The sequence below is a fragment of the Homo sapiens genome, chromosome 7 (assembly GCF_000001405.40).
Source record: "Homo sapiens chromosome 7, GRCh38.p14 Primary Assembly".
Taxonomy (NCBI): Eukaryota; Metazoa; Chordata; class Mammalia; order Primates; family Hominidae; genus Homo; species Homo sapiens.
The window spans coordinates 147,344,601-147,366,808 of NC_000007.14; the positions used below are offsets into that span (position 1 = coordinate 147,344,601).

The 22,208-nt window shown below is 34.5% G+C and overlaps 1 protein-coding gene across 2 annotated transcripts in view; it reads left to right on the forward strand.

The window, feature by feature from the left end:
- Nucleotides 1-22,208, forward strand: part of CNTNAP2 (contactin associated protein 2) — a 2,304,198-nt gene that overhangs the window by 1,227,800 nt on the left and 1,054,190 nt on the right. The window lies entirely within an intron of this gene.

Consider the following 22,208-nt stretch of genomic DNA (forward strand, 5'->3'; position numbering starts at 1 on the left):
GGTAAAACCCCATGATAAAACTTTTGTAGATACTTCAGCATTATGCAAATGATTGATCACTTTATGAGACAATTTTGAATAATATGTGTGAAATTAGTTTTCTCCTACTTGTCTTAGTTCTTTAAAGGATTAACAGCATCCATTATTCTTTGATGTTATTACTGTTAATATTTTTGAAAATTAGGGACTTTTTTTAATAAACGTACATTAGGATCAAAATATTTCACATATCATCTGATTCTTCTGTTGACCTCTAAGTGATGATGATGTAGTTGACAGATGGTAACCCTGCATATCCAAATCAACATCTCTTTGTTTTGTATGTGTCATGTAGCTTTTTATTTTGTTACTATAATTAAAGTAACAAAATTAAAGATCCAGGTTATTATATAAAATTTTCAGGAAACTATATGTCTTTTTCTAGTTTGACATGTTTGTGTTTTTATCCATTTCTTGGTGTACACATAAAATTTAAGTATGTGCCATGGGTTTATGAGCCAGTACTCATAATGCATCCTGAAATTTTCCAGTGGCAGATATAAATACAGAGCTGTCATATTTACGCTGAATTATAAAACAACTGAAAACAATGAAAACTGGTATATTCTGAGTGGGTGGCATGTTAAACCCACACAATTTTGTCATGTTTACTTTTATTTGTACTCGTTTGACAGCAGGGAGAAAGTACTCTGCTTAAATCTATTTCGATAAGATAGTTTTAAAACTTTATAACTTTATGTAAAAGCTTACATAAATTCCCTTTGCTGTTAGTTGATTGAAAATGGAATTCTTTAGTCACACATAGGTAATTATAAAATGAATGTCCTTCCATCAACATATGCTTCCTTGTTTGGATCAAATATATGTCTTCGCATTTGTAGACATTTTCCCTTACTTTTTTGTTGAACTTGTGAAGTGAATGTTAAGTTTATGTATTCAATTATGTGGCGTGTTACATACAGAAGTTTTCTCCCAACTGCAAGACTTTATTTTGCTGGGTTAAAACACTTGGCTAACATATGGTTGCCAAAGATAAGGTGCCTATTTAAAAACTGATGTTCAAAAAAGCTGGTCAGTGATAGTTTTTTTCTGTTTCATTAAAGACAATACATGCTTTCTACTGTTTTCTTTTTTTCCTTCAGCAGAGTTACTATAGAGGAACTATATTCAGATTATTTGTAATACTTTGGAATTACATTTAAATTTATCACTGTATTTCCATGTTTGAATGTCAGTGAGCATGTAGGAGCATCACATAGTTATTTTGTAGCAAGGAACTAGAATCTAACCCTCAAAGAGATGGCAATTTTAAGCATCCTGTGTATTCCTATATGCTTAAGCTCAAGCTTAATTAATTAATAGGCCGCAAACAGTTAATAGGTTAATTTTCTACCCATTAATTTTACGAAATTTGAAAGAAATATTTTTGATAGCTGCAAAACGTATTACATTTCTACAAAGGAAAACTAAATATGACATTGTAAATAGTGTTCCAGACTTATTTTTGGCTGTGTCCCATAATCGAAGATTTTATTTTATTTTATTTTATTTTATTTTTTTTTTTTGAGACAGAGTCTCGCTCTGTCGTCCAGGCCGGACTGCGGACTGCAGTGGCGCAATCTCGGCTCACTGCAAGCTCCGCTTCCCGGGTTCACGCCATTCTCCTGCCTCAGCCTCCCGAGTAGCTGGGACTACAGGCGCCCGCCACCGCGCCCGGCTAATTTTTTGTATTTTTAGTAGAGACGGGGTTTCACCTTGTTAGCCAGGATGGTCTCGATCTCCTGACCTCATGATCCACCCGCCTCGGCCTCCCAAAGTGCTGGGATTACAGGCGTGAGCCACCGCGCCCGGCCCATAATCGAAGATTTTAAAGCATTAAAGTTTATTCATCCCTATTGTCAATCCTATTCTTTCTGGCTATATTCATCAGTCATTGCCTTTTCAGTAAAACATATTAAACATATTAAAGGGATCTGAAAACTTACATGCAAATGAGTTGTGTGAATGTGGTGAAGAGAGAGTTGCAGGATGTTCAGATACAATTTTTTCATGTTAATTTTATCTCAGAAACTTCAGGGACTACCACAATTTACACAGCAAATTTTAAAATTTATAGACTGACATTTTGTTTCTTCTTTTTATTTATTTATTTAATTTTCAACCTTCAAAGAGTGGATCTAGACTGACCTTTCAAACTTTGCGTAGTCTTTTTCAAATTTATCTTTCAAACTTTATTTTCCACTTGCTCCACTGCTCCATTGCTGTACCATTGCTTTTATCACTTTTTTCTCAAACATGTTACTCTTAGTCCTGTTTTTACTTGGTTGTAGTCACTGTTATTCTCCTAAAAATCATGCATTCATTCATTATCCTATTATGAACAAAAAATACACACTAGTCATTGAGGATATAAAAATGAAGAAAACATGAATTCCTACATGGAGGAGCCTATTGTTTAGTGGAAGAGATATAATTACAGAGGCAAGGCACTAGGGTAAAATTATCTTATCTGTTTTCAGATTTTGATGATCAACAAATCATTGGTCCTTCCCTATAAGAATAAAGGTAGCTATTCCACATTAAAAAATAAATATGAGCCATTTGTGGAAGTCATCTTCCCTTGATGGTGAGTGAATGAGGAGGGTAGTTGTAGGTCAATCTTGGTCAGTGGACTTGTTTGCAACCCTAAAAGAGAGCTTGTGTTAGGACAAAACACACTGAAGATAATGAGTGAAGAGTTGTGAAGAATTTGAATTCTATATGATGCTGATGGGCACCAGAGACTACCTTACCTCTGTATTTCCTCTTATGTGAAAAGATTATATATATATATATATATGCATATATATATATATGCATATATATATATATATATGCATATATATATATATGCATATATATGTGTGTGTGTGTGTAGCGTTTATTCCAATTTGTCAAAGTATTCTTTTGCTTGGATCCAAAAGTTTCCTAACTTACCTAAGTACCATTAAAATAATCAGATACTACCAGAAGCAACCTACAGATTCAATGCAATCTCTATCAAAATAGGAATTACATTCTTCACAGAAACTGAAAAAAATTCTAAAATGTGTGTGGGATCACAAAAATCCCAGAGTAGCCAAAGCAATCCTGAGCAAAAAGAAAAATGCCAGAGGCTTTGCGTTACCTGACCTCAAAATATACCACAAAGCTTTAGTAACCAAACCAGCATAATACTGGCCTTAAAACAGATACATGGACTAATAAAACAGAATAGAAAACTCAGAAATTAATCTACATGTCTATACAGCCAGCTGGTTTATGACAAACATGCCGAGAACACTCATGGGGAAAGGGTAGTCTCTTCAATAAATGGTGTTGGGAAAACTGGATATCCATATGCAAAAGAATGAAACTAGACCCCCACCTCACACATAATCAACTCTAAATGGATCAAAAACCTAAATGTAAGACCTGAAATAATAAAACTGCTAGAAGAAGACATAGCGGAAATGCTTCAGGATGTCAATCTGGGAAAAGATTTTATGAATAAGGCCTCAAACACACAGATAAATAAGGAAAATGAGATTATATCACAGCACAAATCTTCTGCACAACAAAGGACATAATCAACAGAGTAAAAGCCTACAGAATGGAAGAAATATTTTCCATCTACTCATTAGAAGATTAATATCCAGAATATACAAGGAACTAAAGCATCTCAACAACAAAAATATATTTTAAAATGGGCAAATGATCTGAATAGACATTTCTCAAAAGAAGACATACAAATAGCAAAAAAAAAAATGAAAAAAAATTCTCAACATTACTAATTATCAGGCAAATACAAATCAAAAATCACAATAAGTTATCGCACCGTCAGTAGGAGGCTATTATCAAAAAGATGAAAAATAACAAATGCTCACAAGTATGAAGAGAAAAGGGAACTCTTATATGCTATTGGTAGGAATGTAAGCTAGTACAGCCACTCCAGAAAAAAGTATGGAGGTCCTCAAAAAACTACAAATAGCACTACCATATGATCCAGCAATCCTACTAATGGGCGTTTATCCAAAGGAAAAGAAATCATTATAGCAAAGAGATATCTACACCCCCATGTTTATTGCAGCACTATTCACAGTAACCAAGACATGGAATCAACCCAGGTATCCAACAACAGATGAATGAGCTAAAAAATGCGGTATATATACACAATGGAATACTATTCACCTATTAAAAAGAATGAAATCCTATCATTTGTGGCAAGATGTATGGAACTGGAAGACACTGTGTAAGTGTCAGGAATAGAAAGTTCACCACCACATGTTCTCACTCATAAGTGCAAGCTTAAAAATGTTGATCTCATAGAAGTGAAAAGTAAAGCACAGGATACTAGAGGCTGAAAGAGTAAAGGCAAGGGAAGATAGAGAAAAATTTGCTAAAGGATACAAAACTATAGCTAGGTAGGACGAGTAAATTCTGGTGTTGTATACCACTGTAGGATAACAATATTTAACAATAATACATAGTTTCAAATAGCTAAAAAGAGGATATTCAACATTTCGACATTCTCAACACAAAAGATGAGTTTGAGAGGATGAATACGCTAATTATCCTAATCTGACCGTTATACATTATATGTATTGAAACATCACTGTGCATTTCATGAATAGGTACACTTATTTGTCAATTAAAAGTAAAATTTTAAAAAAATCAGAAATATTAAAACAAAAGATACTATTAGCAGCTTAAATATGAAGGGACCTGAATTCTCAAAAAGCAAAAGTAGATAAAACTGTGAGAATTTCAACTCTAAAAATATACTTTTCATAAGTTAAACAATATTTTTCCTTGTGAATTTTTAAGTTCAAATAATAGTGACATAGGTGCCTGCTATTTTGTAGGGTGAATTTCATTAATTTTATGACACTTGGATTCCATAATAACCTGTCAAGATAGATAGAAAAAAATATATAACATTCCAAATTAAATGAGAAAATTGATAATCCTAGAAATGTATGTTATTTGTAAAAATCAACATTATAGTGCAGATATCCCGCATTTGATTATAAGAACTCTTCTCATTTGTCTATCTGCCATACTTCTTATTGGAACTCAGAGCTGATATAATAATTCTGATGGTTTTAAAACTATCTGTGAACATATGTACTACCCTACCATTTGGTGAGTTTAAAGTTTGGAAATCATTAATAAATGATATTCCCATTAACAAAATAAACATCACTGAAGATATATGTTGAGAGATGGGAAGGAGTTGGTGGGTCAAGAGAGACACTCTTTTGTCCTTTGTCCCTGTCTACAACACCATTTTGTGGTCTGGCTATTATTTCATAGTTACCACTACCATCTGGAAAGAAAGATTATCCCACATGCCTGGGCTCTTAAATTATTGCAATATTTTTTGCATGAATAATGAACAAATTTATAAATTATAACATCATTCCTGTTATGTTTCTAATATGAATGATATTCACTTGCAAGTGTAGGGCCTTTGCCCTGATTATAGATGTTAGAAAAGAATATGTGAGAGGTGTTATAGAAATAACTGAAGTAAGAATTTACACGTTTGTTATTTAGTAAAAGTCAATATATTTCTAAAGACTTGAATAAAACAAATGCAATTTTGTACAGAATTCTTCAGTGCATTTTCTAATTTCTCCTCTCTGATGTGAAAATAACACAAGATTTAGAAATCACCTGCAATAAAACATGTTTATTTACAAAGTGAAATAGTTTATGTTGTATTAACTTAAATTTTCCTATTTCCGATGCCCAAGTAATACCCCTCTAAGCGAATCATGATTATTGACAAGTTTACTTTTATACACTTTATAGTACTCATTTCCCATAAATAATGTATGATTCTTTAATAAAATTGATAAATATTCAACTCTCAATAAGGCAAAATCCTATGTATTCAAAATAAAATTTAATTGAACATTAAAATTCTTGTCTAGTTCCCATTTTGTGTGTGTGTGCACGTGTGACTTAGGCTGTTTTTCCTGACATTTGTGAAGTCAATGAGTTTTTCTGCTGTACATTAGTTTCTCCCCTTCAGTGCTGCCTTACAGTACCCTATTGTATAAAATATGCATTCAGTAGAGAAAACAATATACTGCAGACATCAGACTTAAACAAAACACTTTTTATTGTTGCTTTAAAAACCAGACTTTACACCCCTGCACTGAAAATAGGAACTATTTGTTCCTAGTCCATGTGCCTGGACCAAAGCATTTTAAAGTACCTAAAAAAATTTAAATTTATAAATTCAGGTTTATAAATTGACCTTATTGACCAATACCTATAAGTCCTTTTAACTTTAGAAAACCCTCCACAAATAACAAATATGATCATTTTCATTTGGCTATTTTTAATATAAATTAATTTTTTCTTACAGAAAGGAATGAAAAGTTTTATTAATTAGAGCACTTACTTAAACCAATGCTTTCAAGCAATCTTTCTTTGGAGTCAGTGATTATCTTTGGCTCTATACCAAAAACTTCAGGTATTTTTTCTTCTTTGCAGTGTTTTAAAATGTATTTGGTTGGGTAAAAGTCACTGTTTTTAGGTTTCAAAATGTTTCTACAATATATTAAGCCCTGATATATACTAATTTACCTCTTTATGATTTGAGTGCTAGATTAGTTTTACACCTAATAATGTAGAAAAAAAATTTAAGCTTATAAATTTGTATATATTATACTAATTTCTGAATATAAGCACAGGTGATAGCTTATTATATTTGTTCATATGCAGCTCCTGGAATAATCCTAGAACAACGCATAGTTTATAAAAAAAATAGAAGGGGAGTAGGAAGGAATGAAAGGAGAGAAAAATAGCATCTGAGCAGTCTGAGAATTTCACAATAATAGCTGTTCTAAAGTTTAGATGACTATAAATTATTCTTAAACAGTTATGTTTTGCCTATGTTTAATATATATAAAACAGTAGTATTTGTATTTCTGTAATTAACATTTCTCTAGAAAACAGTGTTAAATATATATTTGTTATAGTCTAAATTTGTGTTCATAACATGTAAATTGCAAGCATGAGTTTAGAAACTCATGATTTTGCCCCCTCCTTTAAAAATCAGTTAATCAATAATTTGTATTGATGCACTAGAACTCCAAGCAAGCGTCTCAGAGTGTTCTATCACAAAGAATTATTAAAAGGAAAGCTTCAAAGCTAAATCTTCAATGGTAGCTAAAGAGCAGATAAAGACTATATGAATCTGATTCCCCAAGACAAGAAGTTCTTATAAATTAAAGGCAAATAGGCAAGTGATTAGGTAATATGAACATGTGATTTAAGGTGAAAATCTTCTTTCAATGGCCGTGAATAAATCTCCTTTAAAGACATTATATTGTGTTCACTAAATTAAAATGTGCCAATTCTTCAATGATCAATGGCAATTTGTTTTGCTTTAATTAGCTGATAAAACAAATGAATAAATAGCATCAGCTAAGGTCATCTGTTCTACCTGTTGCTTTAGGTTAATGTGTATTTCATCCTCAGATTCCTTAGCTCTCAGAAATTTGACTGACATGACTCAAGGAAATAAAAATATTTGAAATATGTATATAATTTATAACATAATGTTAGTTTTATGTAAAAGCAATTCAGCAAGTCTGAAATTACTTTTCTGCAATGACTATAATGTAACAAATAGAAATAATTTGTAACACTGTGTTCTATGTCAATTGTACTTAAACACTTTTGAGATATGGCAGAGGATCTTGCTTCCCTCAGGACTAATAATGTACACTTCATCTAAGTCCAAATTTTAATTAACAGTTCTTGTTAAGATAGTTTTTTCTACCTCTAAACCTAATCATACTTGGTATTTAAATGGCATATTCAATAAAAGTTGTCCCATTTCACCTGTTTTGAAGTCAAAGGTTTTTGCTTTAAAACATTTTTGAACTAGCTCTACAGTTTTTAGAAGCTGTTTAGGGACTTCACATACTATATGCAGGAGTAAGTAACTAATTGGTGCTATACTTTATGGTATTGACACATTCAAAGAACTTCATTGATTCAGTACACTTTCTCTTTCTTAAAAACATGAGACCCTTAACCATGGTAGAATTCTCATTGTTAATTTATTTTGGCTGCTCTATTGCCTGTTACTAAGTTATTCTGTTTCAAGGGCAAAAGTATATTTTTTCCACATGGAAAAAAATTCAAAACCAGGCAGTAGATAGATAAAATTATTCTTTGCCATTAGCATGCTAAATAATAGTATTGCAAACAGCAGTTCACTATGCACAGCTTGATACGATAGATGAAAATATTAGTTTATGAATCTGATACTTAAACTTTACTAAGTAAAGTTAGTAAAGTAAACAGTCTTTACTAAGTAAAGACTGGGTTCTTTAAAGCCCAACCTTTGGTCTTTTGAATCGTTCTCTATAGCAATTAGTCACTCATATAAAGTGAGATATTATAAACCGCAACTCTGTTTCAGCATGTAGAATTCTTTATATATATATATAGACACACACACACATGTATATGTATATATACATACATATACGTATATGTACATATATATATGTATATGTATACTTTAAGTTCTGGGATACATGTTCAGAACGTGCAGTTTTGTTACATAGGTATACACGTGCCATGGTCGTTTGCTGCACCAATCAACCTGTCACCTACATTAGGTATTTCTCCCAATGTTATCCCTCCCCTTTCCCCTACTCCCCGACAGGCCCCAGTATGTGATGTTCCCCTCCCTGTGTCCATGTGTTCTCATTGTTCAACTCTCACTTATGAGTGAGAACATGTGGTGTTGGTTTTCTGTTCCTGTGTTAGTTTGCTGAGAATGATGGTTTCCAGCTTCATCCATGTCCCTGCAAAGGACATGAACCCATCCTTTTCTATGGCTGCATAGTATTCCGTGGTGTATATGTGCCACATTTTCTTTATCCAGTCTATCATTGATGGGCATTTGGGTTGGTTCCAAGTCTTTGCTATTATGAACAGTGCTGCAGTAAACATATGTGTGTATGCGTCTTTAGAGTAGAACGATTTATAATCCTTTGGGTATATACCCAGTCATGGGATTGCTGGGTCAAATGGTATTTCTGGGTCTAGATCCTTGAGGAATGGCCACACCGTCTTCCACAATGGTTGAACTAATTTACACTCCCACCAACACTGTAAAAGCGTTTATATTTCTCCACATCTTCTCCAGCATCTGTTGTTTCCTGACTTAATGATCGCCATTCTAACTGGTGTGAGATGGTATCTTATTGTGGTTTTTATTTGCATTTCTCTGATGACCAGTGATGATGAGCTTTTTTCATGTTTGTTGGTCGCAAAAATGTCTTCCTTTGAAAAGTGTCTGTTCATATCCTTCGCCCACTTTTTGATGTTTTTTTTTTTCTTGTAAATTTGTTTAAGTTCCTTGTAGATTCTGGATATTAGCTCTTTATCATATGGATAGATTGCAAAAATTTTCTCCCATTCTGTAGGTTGCCTAGTCACTCTGATGATAGTTTCTTTTGCTGTGCAGAAGCTTTTTAGTTTAATTAGATCCCATTTGTCAATGTTGGCTTTTGTTGCCATTGCTGTTGGTGTTTTGGTCATGAAGTCCTTGCCCATGCCTATGTACTAAATGGTATTTCCTAGGTTTTCGTCTAGGGTTTTTATGGTTTTAGGTCTTATGTTTAAGTCTTTAATCCATCTTGAGTTAATTTTTGTATAAGGTGTAAGGAAGAGGTCCAGTTTCAGTTTTCCGCATATGGCTAGCCAGTTTTCCCAACACTATTTATTAAATAGGGAATCCTTTCCCCATTGCTTGTTTTTGTCAGGTTTGTCAAAGATCAGATTGTTCTAGATGTGTGGTGTCATTTCTGAGGCCTCTGTTCTGTTCTATTGGTCTATATCTCTGTTTTGGTACCAGTACCATGCTGTTTTGATTACTGTAGCCTTGTAGTGTAGTTTGAAGCCAGGTAGTGTGATGGTTACGGCTTTGCTCTTTTTGCTTAGAATTGTCTTGGCTACATGGGCTCTTTTTTGGTTCCATATGAAATTTAAAGTAGTTTTTTCTAATTCTGTGAAGAAAATCAATGGTAGCTTGATGGGGATAGCATTGAATCTGTAAATTACTTTGGGCAGTATGGCCATTTCCACAATATTGATTCTTCCTGTGCATGAGCATGGACTGTTTTTCCATTTGTTTGTTTCCTCTCTTATTTCCTTGAGCAGTGGTTTGTAGCTCTCCTTGAAGAGGTCCTTCACATCCCATGTAAGTTGTATTCCTAAGTATTTTATTCTCTTTGTAGCAATTGTGAATGGGAGTTTGCTCATGATTTGGCTCTCTGATTGTCTATTATTGGTATATAGAAATGCTTGTGATTTTGCACACTGATTTTGTACCCTGACACTTTTCTGAAGTTGCTTATCATTTCAAGAAGTTTTTGGGCTGAGACGATGGGGTTTTCTAATATAAAATCATGTCTTCTGCAAACAGAGACAACTTGACATCTGGCTTGAGGAGCTTTAAGTGACCAGATCATGGCCATTGTTTCGAGTAAAGTGGAACCCGTATACTTGAGGGACGTGGTAAGACCAATGACTACTGGGTAAATAATGAAACTAAGGCAGAAATAAATAAGTTATTTGAAACCAATGGGAACAAAAACACAATGTACCAGAATCTCTGGGACACAGCTAAAGCACTGTTGAGAGGGAAATTTATAGCACTAAGTGCCCACAGGAGAAAGCAGGAAACATCTAGAATCGGTATCCTAACGTTACAATTTAAGGAACTAGAGAAGCAAGAGTAAACAAATTCAAAAGCCAGCAGAAGACAAGAAATAACTAAGATCATAGCAGAACTGAAGGAGATACAGATACAAAAAACCTTTCAAAAAAGCACGGAATCTAGGAGCTGTATTTTTGAAAAGATTAACAAAATAGATAGACTGCTAGTCAGATTAATAAAGAAGAAAAGAGAGAATCATATAGACACAATAAAAATGATAAAGGGGATCTCACCACTGATCCCACAGAAATACAAACTACCATCAGAGAATACTGTAAACACCTCTATGCAAATAAACTAGAAAATCTAGAAGAAATGGATAAATTCCTGGACACATACACCCACCCAAGACTAAACCAGGAAGAAGTCAAATCCCTGAATAGACCAATAACAAGTTCTGAAATTGAGGCAGTAATTAATCTACCAACCAAGAAAAGCCAAGGACCACACGAATTCACAACCGAATTCTACCAGAGGTACAAAGAGGAGCTGGTACCATTCCTTCTGAAACTATCCTGAACAATGGAAAAAGAGAGACTCCTCCCTAACTCATTTTATGAGGCCAGCATCATCCTGATACCAAAACCTGGCAGAGACACAATAAGAAAAGAAAATTTCAGGGCAATAACCCTGAGGAACATTGATGCAAAAATCCTCAATAAAATACTAGCAAACTGAATCCAGCAGCACATCAAAAAGCTTATCCACCATGATCAAGTCAGCTTCATCCCTGGGATGCAAGGTTGGTTCAACATATGCAAATCAATAAATGTAATCCATCACATAAACAGAACCAAAGACAAAAACTACATGATTATCTTAATAGATGCAGAAAAGGCCTTTGATAAAATTCAACACCCCTTCATGCTGAAAACTCTCAATAAAGTAGGTATTGATGGAAGGTATCTCAAAATAATACCTATTTATGACAAACCCACAGCCAATATCATATTGAATGGGCAAAAACTGGAAGCATCCCCTTTGAAAACTGGCACAAGACAGGGATGGCCTCTCTCACCACTCCTATTCAACATAGTGTTGGAAGTTCTGGCCAGGGCAATCAGGCAAGAGAAAGAAATAGCAGGTGTTCCAGTAAGGGAGGAAGTCAGATTGTCTGTGTTTGCAGATGACATGATTATACATTTAGAAAACCCCATTGTCTTAGCCCAAAATCTCTTAAGCTGGTAAGAATTCTTTATTTAGTATTTAGTCTAGTTTTAAGAAAGTCTTCTCTCACCTACCACTATTGAAGTTTTATGGGAACACAAATGATATTATAGTCTAAGTGAAAGACATGTTCATAGTAGGCTTACAAGAAATATTTCATGAAAAAACACTTTGTACTGTAAAATTTGTACATAAGCCATTGACCATTTTTTCATGAGGGAAAATATAATGTCATAATTCGGATTGGTATTTTAGTGAAATGGAAGGTCGCTGTATGGCCTCTTCCTCATTCAAAGTTTGTGAAACTCTCTTCTCTTTTCTTTGAGGCTGTGTCTTGAGCAAAGTTTTACTGCAAGTTGGAACCAAACTGAGATCAAATGGCCACCAGTTAGTAGTGACATCTGGAAAGTCATCTTCTGTATTGGGAACTCACCTAATACCACTTGAAATTATATCCTTGTCTTTCATTCAAACTCTGACCTCCATCTTTCTGATTGTAACATAGTCATCAAAACCTGCTAATTGCTCATCTTCTTGTAAGTTATTTATGTGGATGACCTCAGCGAATCTTCTCAAACATTCTATGAGGCAGGTACTATTATTATTCTTTCTGGGTCTACCCCTTTGTCCTCTAGCTATTTTTTGGAGAGCTGATAAGTGAACTTGAAATCTGACTACAGGGACTTTTCTAATAACCAGATAACTTTATTTCTCTCTTCTTGATATATTTGTTTTCTGTGCTCCTGCATCTAGACTGGGTCGTGATAAAGCTGAGTCCAGCTGTAGGGCCAGACAGAGCCTTCCTCTCCACACAGCATTCTTAGCATTGTGGAGCTCGGCTTCAGGAAGCATTTTCCTTACTTAATAGAAGCTGTTGCTCCTCTTCATGGGAAGTCTTGGCAATGCCAGTGATCTAAGGTGATGGAATCTGTTGATCCTACATGCAGCAGCAGTCGGTACTGAAATGAGTAATATTTTAATAATTTTTTTTTGCCCTTTCTTCTTCCAGTTTTGCTATTCAAGGTGATGTTTCTTAGTCTTCTGCTCCTTAATTAGCACCTGTTGACTAAATGGATCAACAAACCTATCCCACGTGTGACTTACTCTCCTGGACACGAGTCTTGTTTTATAGTCTAGCTTAGCAGACTTCCCACTGGTTTCTGTCATGATACTGTCCATCTAGTGAACACTTTTTTTGTTATAATTTCCTCCCTCTAAACTTCATACTGTTAAGTAGTTTCTGGAGTGCAGGATTTTTTTCTAAAGTCAGAACAGTGGGAAATGAGTTAATAAAGCTTCTACGTTCCTTGGAAAGACCCCTGAGAGATACTTAACCAGTTGCCTGCTGTGTAAATGTTATTGAGAATGAAAAACAAAAAGTAAATTTACAGCTTCTGTTGTGTCCACATCCATTCCAAACTAGATGCACCATAACAAAAATAACACTTAGAACTTTAATTGTAGTATCTGTGAAAAGGCACCAGTGTGATTTATGTAATAAATTGGATACTAAAAACTTTCTTATGATATCATGCATTTAAAAATTAGGAAATGACAGCCCTGAAGGTAAATGTAACTTGAATGATAGCATTTTCCCAAAAGAAAGCATTAGTTTTCAAATAAGTGTACTTTTACCAATTTACCAGTAAACAGATCTTGTCACAGAAATACATACTTATAAAAACTTTGGACATATTTGAAAAATAAGCAGATTTTCTTAAACCTCAGTTTTTGGGTGGTCTTATTTTCCTCTTCTCTATAAGCAAACCTTTGCCCATCAAATAGATATGTACTTTTTAATGAAAATATCATATGGTAATTATATTACCCATAAATTTCTCCTATGGAATTTTCTAGTAAGTAGGTGTTATTGTCACAGAAATACTTATTTGTAAAAACATAAAGTAAATTAATCATTATATGCTCATTGAGTAAACATAGCTGAGTAATAGGTTGCAGTCATTTTTAACACAATTTAACAAATGTTTGAACGATCTATAATTTTTATTCATGTGTGATTTATGGCATCCATTTTAACTAATGTAAAGGGTAGATGATGAATATTAGTATCAGTCAATTCCAGACTTCAACCTTAATACACATAAAAGTGACTACCAAGCATTTTCTCCTAATTAAAAAAAAAGCAAATTTTATTTATTTTCAATGAAATTTTAGCTTCTAATAGTCTTCAAAAGCTATGTAGTTATTATAATAATGTTGCCATTCCTCAAAAACATTCTCAGGCTGCTTTGGAATCACCTTAAGCATTTATTTCTGAAAACCTATTCATGTACTCCCTAAGCATAGATGAACACAATGGCCTCATTTGTTAAAGCTGTTTACTCCTTGTTTGGTAAAGCTGAGCTCACAAGTCAAAACCGGCCTGCAGACATACGGTTTTGGGCACCATAGTGTTTTCTAAAGGGATTTTAAGACCATTAGGCACATCTAGCTCAAAGGTAATTGTCTTATACCTGGCACACTTCATTTTAAACTTGCTTAATCTCTAGAAACCTATGCTTTAGTTATCCCTAAACAAGCTGAATATTTAGTTTACTTTTCTGCATCTCATAGTGATGTCTAATAGGCATCAAAATCACTCAAAACTGTGCTCTTAATCTTTGTTCATAAACCTGTTCTGTTTCAGTTTTCTCCACCTCTGTAAATGGCCGCTCTATTCCAATTACTCATACTGTAAAACTTGGAGTTCTCTTTGACTCAATCATCAGCAAATCCTGTTGCCTTTATCTTAAAAGTATGAGCAAAATCTGCTACCTGCTGTCCCGAGCCCCTATAGCTGTCACCTCGCTTTACTGGCTTATCACAGTGATCTTTGAATTCATCTCCCTTTTCCACCCTTCTTTGCCTATAGCCTGCTCTCAGCACAATGGGCAGAATCATCCTTTTTTAAAACACAGGCCAGATCATTTTACCCTCTCCTTATGACCTTTCAATGCTCCCCATTTTACTACTAAAGAAGTCACATCCTTGAATCAGCCTTTAAAGTCCTATACAACAGGTCCTTGGAATGTTTCTGACCCACCCCATGCTATTTCTCCTTCATTGCCTCTGCTTTAACTGTGCTCTTTGTTTAGCACACTGGGAACAGTGCTGCCCCAGGATCTTTGCACTTCCTGTTCCTTCTGCCTGGAATGGTCTTCTCTTACTTGCTCACATGGCCACTTGTCTCCTCTTCTTCAAAATATTGCCCAAATGTCACCTTCTTGATGAAGCCTTCCCTGACCGCCCTAAAGTAGAAACAGCCTGCCACCCACCTCTCTACTCCCTAACCCTCTTTTCTACTAATTTAATTATTTTTTCATCCAAAACTCTTACCTCTCCTAATATGATATGTTCTTTATTCATTTGCTTATTGTTTTTTATAAACAACATAAACTTGAATATAAACTTGATTATAAACGTGAAAGTTCAAAGAATTTTGTCTGTTTTTTTAACTGCCACATCTTTGGACACTGAATGAGTACCTGGCATGCAGACACAATCGTATATTAAAGATAGGTGTTTCTTTCCAAAACTCCTAACAATCCTAGAAAACTAAAATATACACCACTACTAGTATTCAAAACATCTTGTTTATGCATGGCTTCAAGCTTTGACCTAATTTGTTTATATATGTCCCTATATTCAGTTACTGTTTTCATAAACTTTATTTATAACCCCTTAGCTTTCATCCTGTGTCTTCATCCTTGTGGTTCAGCAATGATATCTAGTCTATATCTTGGTATATAAATAATCATTGAATTTTTATGATATTTCAGTATGTTAAGGTCTCCTAAAGTTGAATATTGTAATCTTAATCTTTTATTTATCCCGTGTCTCCTGTGATTCATATATTTGAAAGTAAATTTTAATTCTTTCTCCAAAAGTGTGTTGACCATACCAGTCCCTATCTTTAAAGACATGAGATAATTTTTCAATATTTATTGTGCATCTGTAATTGATACCATTGGCTTATTTTCTTGATTAACTCTTACTACTTTAGATTTCTCTATCTAAGGCATTCATGGTGCTTTTTTCACTCTTTATATATCCTCAGTGTACCACATTCCTTTCTACCATAAATATTTCTTTTGAAAAAAAAACTCTCTGTACCCTCTGTAGATGTCACACTGTGTTCTTTCTGATGTCTCCATGACCCCTATGTGTTCATGGATATTTATTAATTTTATATAGTGACTGGACACTCCAGTGAATTCTCACCAGCCATTTCGACCCCCCACCTGCCATTCCAACTCCCCATCCCTAAATGAAATCAGCAGAGAGAAGATTAAGGCCAAGGCAACAAAATTATATGAAAAGGTATGTAGGTGGTCGCAGAAGGGGTCAGAGAAGGTAAGTGGTTTCCTTGAACATTACCAATGGGTTGGATTCATCCATTAGAAGGATTTTCAACTGAAGGTCATGAAGCCCAAAACAACAACCAAAGGTTATATTATACCAATGAAGGGTGTAAGAGTTCACAGACATAAAGGCTGGAGATTGTAGAAAGCCAAGAAAAGTCAAAGTGCTGGAACTTATCATTTAAAGAAAAAAACCTAAAATATAGAAAACCAAAAAAGATTAACTAAATAATCTGGAAGTCCAAGGACAAGAGCTACACAGTGCAAATGAATTTGGAAAGCAATTATGAAAAACTTTCCTTTAGGATGTATGATCTTCTTGAGAGCTGTATACTCTTTTACCTATTCTGAAAAGTACCTTAAGCTAGCAGAGTCCATGATTTTCTGACAACAATGAATTTTATACATTCTTGCTATATGAACACTAATAATATAATGTTAGGTTATTCAGTTTTGTGTGCATGCTTTGCAATTTTCAACAAGATGTTCCATTATTCGATCTGTCTATCTTGTTCTTGCTTACTCAGAGATTTCTAGGAATGCAATCTATACCCTGTATAATTTAACTTTTAAGTCACGTTGTGTTAGACAAGAGTTATGCCTTATCTTCTCACTAATAATAAAGTGTCCTAGGATTAATTTTATTATTTAGTGCATAGTTCCCTAGTTGTATATATTACTTCACAAAAAACAACCTCAAACTTATTGAGTAAGATAGTCTTATTGAGTAAGATAAACTTACTTATTGAGTAAGATAAACTTGAATATAAACTTGATTATAAATTTGAAAGTTCAAAGAATTTTGTCTGTTTTTTTTAACTGCCACATCTTGAGTAAGATAAACTTACTCAATAAGATAAGATAGTCTTATTGAGTAAGATAAACTTATTGAGTAAGATAGTCACCTTTTTTATTTTTAACAATGACATATTGATGAGTCAGGAATTTAGACCCAGAATATTGAGGATGGCTCTTCTCTACTGCATGATATCAGATGGCTAAGGGGGTAACTCAAAATTCTCAAGAGCTGGAGCTGGAATCACCTGACAGCTTCTTCACTTCTGTGTTTGACACTGAGACTGGGAAAGGTGAAGGATGCATTCGGCTGGAACAGTGGGCCTGAGCCCTCACCTGTGGCCCTTCCAACTAGAGAGTCTCAGGCTGGTTAAGTATTTTATATAACAGTGCAGGGCTCCAAGATTGAGTGTTTTCAGTAAAGGAGTAAGCTTTGTTATGGTTTGTTTTGAGACTAGGTCTCGCTCTGTCACCCAGGCTGGAGTGCAGTGGTGCGATCACAGCTCACTACAGCCTCAAATTCCTGAACTCAAACAATCTTTCCACCTCAGCCTTTCAAGTAGCGGGGATTACAGTTGCATGCCACCACACCAGCTAATTTTTCTCTTACTCTTAGTAGAGACAAGATCTCACTCTGTTGCCCAGGCTGGTCTCAGACTCCTGAGCCCAAGAGATCCTCCTGCCTCGGCCACACAAAGTGCTCGGATTACAGGCATGAGCCACCACTTCTGGCCTAAGCTGTATTATCTTTTATGTCCTAGCCTTAGACATCACATAATGTCACTTCCACCATGATCTGTCAGTCACAGTAATCATAAACATTCTCAGATTCCAGGGGAAGAGTTGTAGACTGGGATGGATATTGAGGCATTTGTAGCTATAATTTAGAACTGCCACCTCACCTACAGGCATACTGACTGAATGTTCTTTACTCCTATTCCTTATGTTATCTTTAACTATTACAGTAGTTGCTGAGTGTTATGGAGTGCATATCTGTGTCCCTTCAAAAACGTCATAAAACGCATACCCAAGGTGAAGCCAACTCTAAAACTGCCTGTCCTAGATACAGTTTTTGGAAACATGGCATTGGAGAATTGAGCCTAAATGGATAAAGAATTACTGGCATAATTTTTGTATATTTCCCTAAGGCCCTATAAATACTATAAAATGAAATACAGAAGTTAATAAAAAAAATTAAAAAAATCAAGAGTCAATTGAGTTGGAAATGACTTCAAGACAGAGTTGATAACAATATATGCTTTATCAAAGAGTCTATTCAGTGATGACTGAATCAGATTTATACTGATCCATGAATTTGAGGTACAATCAAGATGAAACCCTCACCTCCAATGGGTCAGTGGGTCTGAACCTTCACCTGTGGCTCAGGTGATAGCATCCAACGGGATGCTAATACGTGGTGGGACCTTTGGAAGGAAATTAGATTCAGATGATATCATGAGAGTGTGGTCCTCATGATGGGATTAGCACTCCTATAAAAAGAGAAGGAGACTAGAGCTTACTCTCTGCTGTGTGAGGATATGGTGAGAAGATACTGTCAACAAGCCGGAATGCAGGCCCTCTCCTGACACTGGATCTGCCACTGCCTTGATCTTGGATTCCCCAACTCTGAACTGTGAAAAAGGAATGTTATTGTTTAATTCATTAACTCTATGGTATTTCTTCATAGCAGCTCAAACTAAGACACCTATTTGTAAAGAGAATGTGACTGTTATTTGTCACCCCGTATAAAGACAGTTACACAGTTTAATGATTATTTCCATATTTTTCTAACTGCACATTAGCTGAGGCATAATTTTTCTTGTACACATTCTTTTTTAAAAATGTTCTCTTTATTCTGATCATACCTCAAATTCATGGATCTGTATAAATCTGTATGATTCAGTCATCACCAAATAGACTCTTTGATAAAGCATATATTGCTATCAACTCAGTCTTGGAGTCATTTCCAATTCAATTGCCTCTTGATTTTTTGTATGTTTTCTATTAACTTCTCATTTTATTGTATGGCATTTATAGGGCCTTAGGGAAATATACAAAAAAAGTAATTATGCCAGTAATTCTTTATCTATTTAGGCTCAATTCTCCAATGCCATGTTTTCAAAAACTACATCTAGCACATGCAGTTTTAGAGTTGGTTTCACCTTGGATATACCTTTCATGACATTGAAATTATATAAATCTTTAAATAAGCTTTTTGTGTTATATAGACCTCGCTTGTTTCTGTCAACAGTTGGCGTATGCTAGTTTGACCCCTACATTGTCCAAGTTATTAAATAACTTGTAGAAGATCACTGAATAGAATACATGCTTGTAGAAAAGAAATGCACATCAAGTAAGATTCTAGTAGTTTTTCTTTCCCTTATGGTTAACAGATTTTAAGATATTATCTCTCATCAAATAATCATGTTGAGAGCTTACATTATCTTTTTATATTATCTCTTTCTATTTGCTTACATAAGCTAGTCTACATGCTGCTAAGAAGAATGTGGATAAAAGATCCAAAATACTTGGTAATAAGTATTCATTGGAAATGAGTGTCACTGTGTAATATTGCCAACTTTTTCTAGTTTTGTTATTTCCATGTACACACTGAACACTTAGAAAATTATATGTGTAACTTTAAGTATTTGTTCACATATCATTACATACATATACAATTGTATATCAGCTGTCAACCTGCTATGATGTTTTCTGGTGTTAAAAGGGACTCAGTTTCTTCTATGTCATGTGAAGAAACATGCTGTCATCCATCAGACTGTTTTACATTTACATAATAAATCATGAAATTCCAGACAGTGTTCACTCATTTATGGTTGGTCATTCCTTGATGTTAATGGAAGACAAGGCTTATGAGAATATTTCACTTCTTTAAGTTCTGTTGGTTAAAAATATTCCTAACCAGCGGATCACAAGGTCAGGAGATTGAGACCATCCTGGCTAACACGGTGAAACCCCGTCTCTGCTAAAAATACAAAAAATTAGCCGGGAATGGTGGCGGGCACCTGTAGTCCCAGCTACTCGGGAGGCTGAGGCAGGAGAATGGCGTGAACTCGGGAGGCGGAGCTTGCGGTGAGCCGAGATCGCGCCACTGCACTCCAGCCTGGGCGACGGAGTGAGACTCAGTCTCGGGAAAAAAAAAAAAAATTCCTAGCCATGTTAAAAATTACTTTGGCGTTTTAAAAATGTTTAATTTTGATATACTATGTCACAGGAACAAAGAGTTTATAAAAGAATTTGTATTTTTTTAAGTAAAAGAACCCTTATAACCAAGAGCCAATTAGAGATGTTCTTCTAGCAGCATATAGACTATGTAAGCTAGTGTGAATTTGGGATATTTTTTGTCATTCTTTAATTTCTATTCTTTACTTAGTTTTTCCTGTTTTTAAAACTTATATGAATAGGCCGAGTGCAGTGGCTCATGCCTGTAATCCCAGCACTTGAGGAGGCAGAGGCAGGCGAATCACCTGAGGTCAGGAGTTTGAGACAAGCCTGGCCAACATGGTGAAACCCCGTCTCTACTACAAATACAGAAATTAGCCAGGTGTGGTGGCGGGTACCTGTAATCCCAGCTCGAACCCAGGAGGCGGAGGTTGCAGTGAGACGAGACCAGGCCATTGCACTCCAGCCTGGGCAGCAGAGGAGAGACACTCTATCTCAAAAAGAAAAAAAAAAAAAAAAAAAAAAAAACAAAGAAACTTATATGAATAGAAATATAAAGTCGTTCCTATTGTTTCTGGCTATTGTCACACATTATCTTTGTCAGATGAATGTTTGAATTAATTAATAAATATTTTCTACTATTCTATTTCCCCCATCTTTTTGAATGTTATAACTTCACTTTCTATTATTTTAGTGGTTACCCTAAAAATTAAAACATGGATATTTAATATGTCAAAACATTATCAGTCTCTTTACTCACCTCTTAGATATTTCAAGAACTTTAAAACACTTTCTAGATTTACATTATAGTGTAAAATATATATTCTAGATTTTTAGTCTTACAAAGTTATATTTCCTATTTTATAATTATTTGTTCATTTCTATCAACATAGTCACCCACTGTTTCCCATTGCTTCTAGAATCTCAGAAGGAAACAAAATCCTTTAGAATTTCCTCTACTTAATGTTTCTTGATTTTTGTTTGTCTGGAAATACATTATAATCTGTTGCTGATTTTCCTAGTTCTTGAATTATTTGCCAGTCTGTTCTGCTGGCTTTCATTCTCTTTCCTTAAATAGTTGGCCGTTTTTTATTCGGCACTGATTATGATGCTGAAATAATTATTTGTGTGAATTCTTTGAAGTCTATGGTGAAGGTCCTTTCCTTCATCAAGAATTTTCATTAGATTCTCCTGGGTACCTGGACTCACAGTCATTATTTTAGATGCAAATAGCATAATAGTCTTAAGGCTATTCAGGCGTGCTGTTCTTTGTAGATATTATATCACAATCTGTACTTTTATCCCATTCATTAGATTTCCAAAATTTTACATAAAGTTCATAGGATTCTCATTAGCTTTTTAATCTGGAATGAATCTAAAGTTTTGCCTCCACTTGAGCCTTCTCCATTTTTTTCTTTATCTGTCTCAATGGAGATTTGTCTTATCTTTCCAGAGAATATGTTCTTAGACTCACTCATTCCTCTCATCAGTTTTCTATTTTAGTAGACTGTAATTTTTTTCATAATTTTCATAAAATCTAATTTTCTCATAATTTCCTTTTCTCTGCCTTCTTTGTATTACCTTTCCTTTATTTCAGTAGAGTATAAATTTTTTCATAAAATCTAATTCTTTCATAGTTTCCTTCTCTCTGCCTTCTTTGTATTGACTTTTCATTTTTGTTACTTCTTAAGATGAATTCTCAACTGATACTATATTCTTTATTTTTAGTATAAGTAAAACAATAAATTTCACTTAAATCTTCTCTTCCGTTGCATCTCACAAGTTTTGTTATGCAGTACTTTCATTATTGTTTAGTTATGTTCAGTATCTTTTGATATCCACAATCAAGTTTTATTAGTCCAGGTATGTTTTTAAGTGATTTTTTACGAATTTGTTGCACGCACACACACACACACACACACACACAC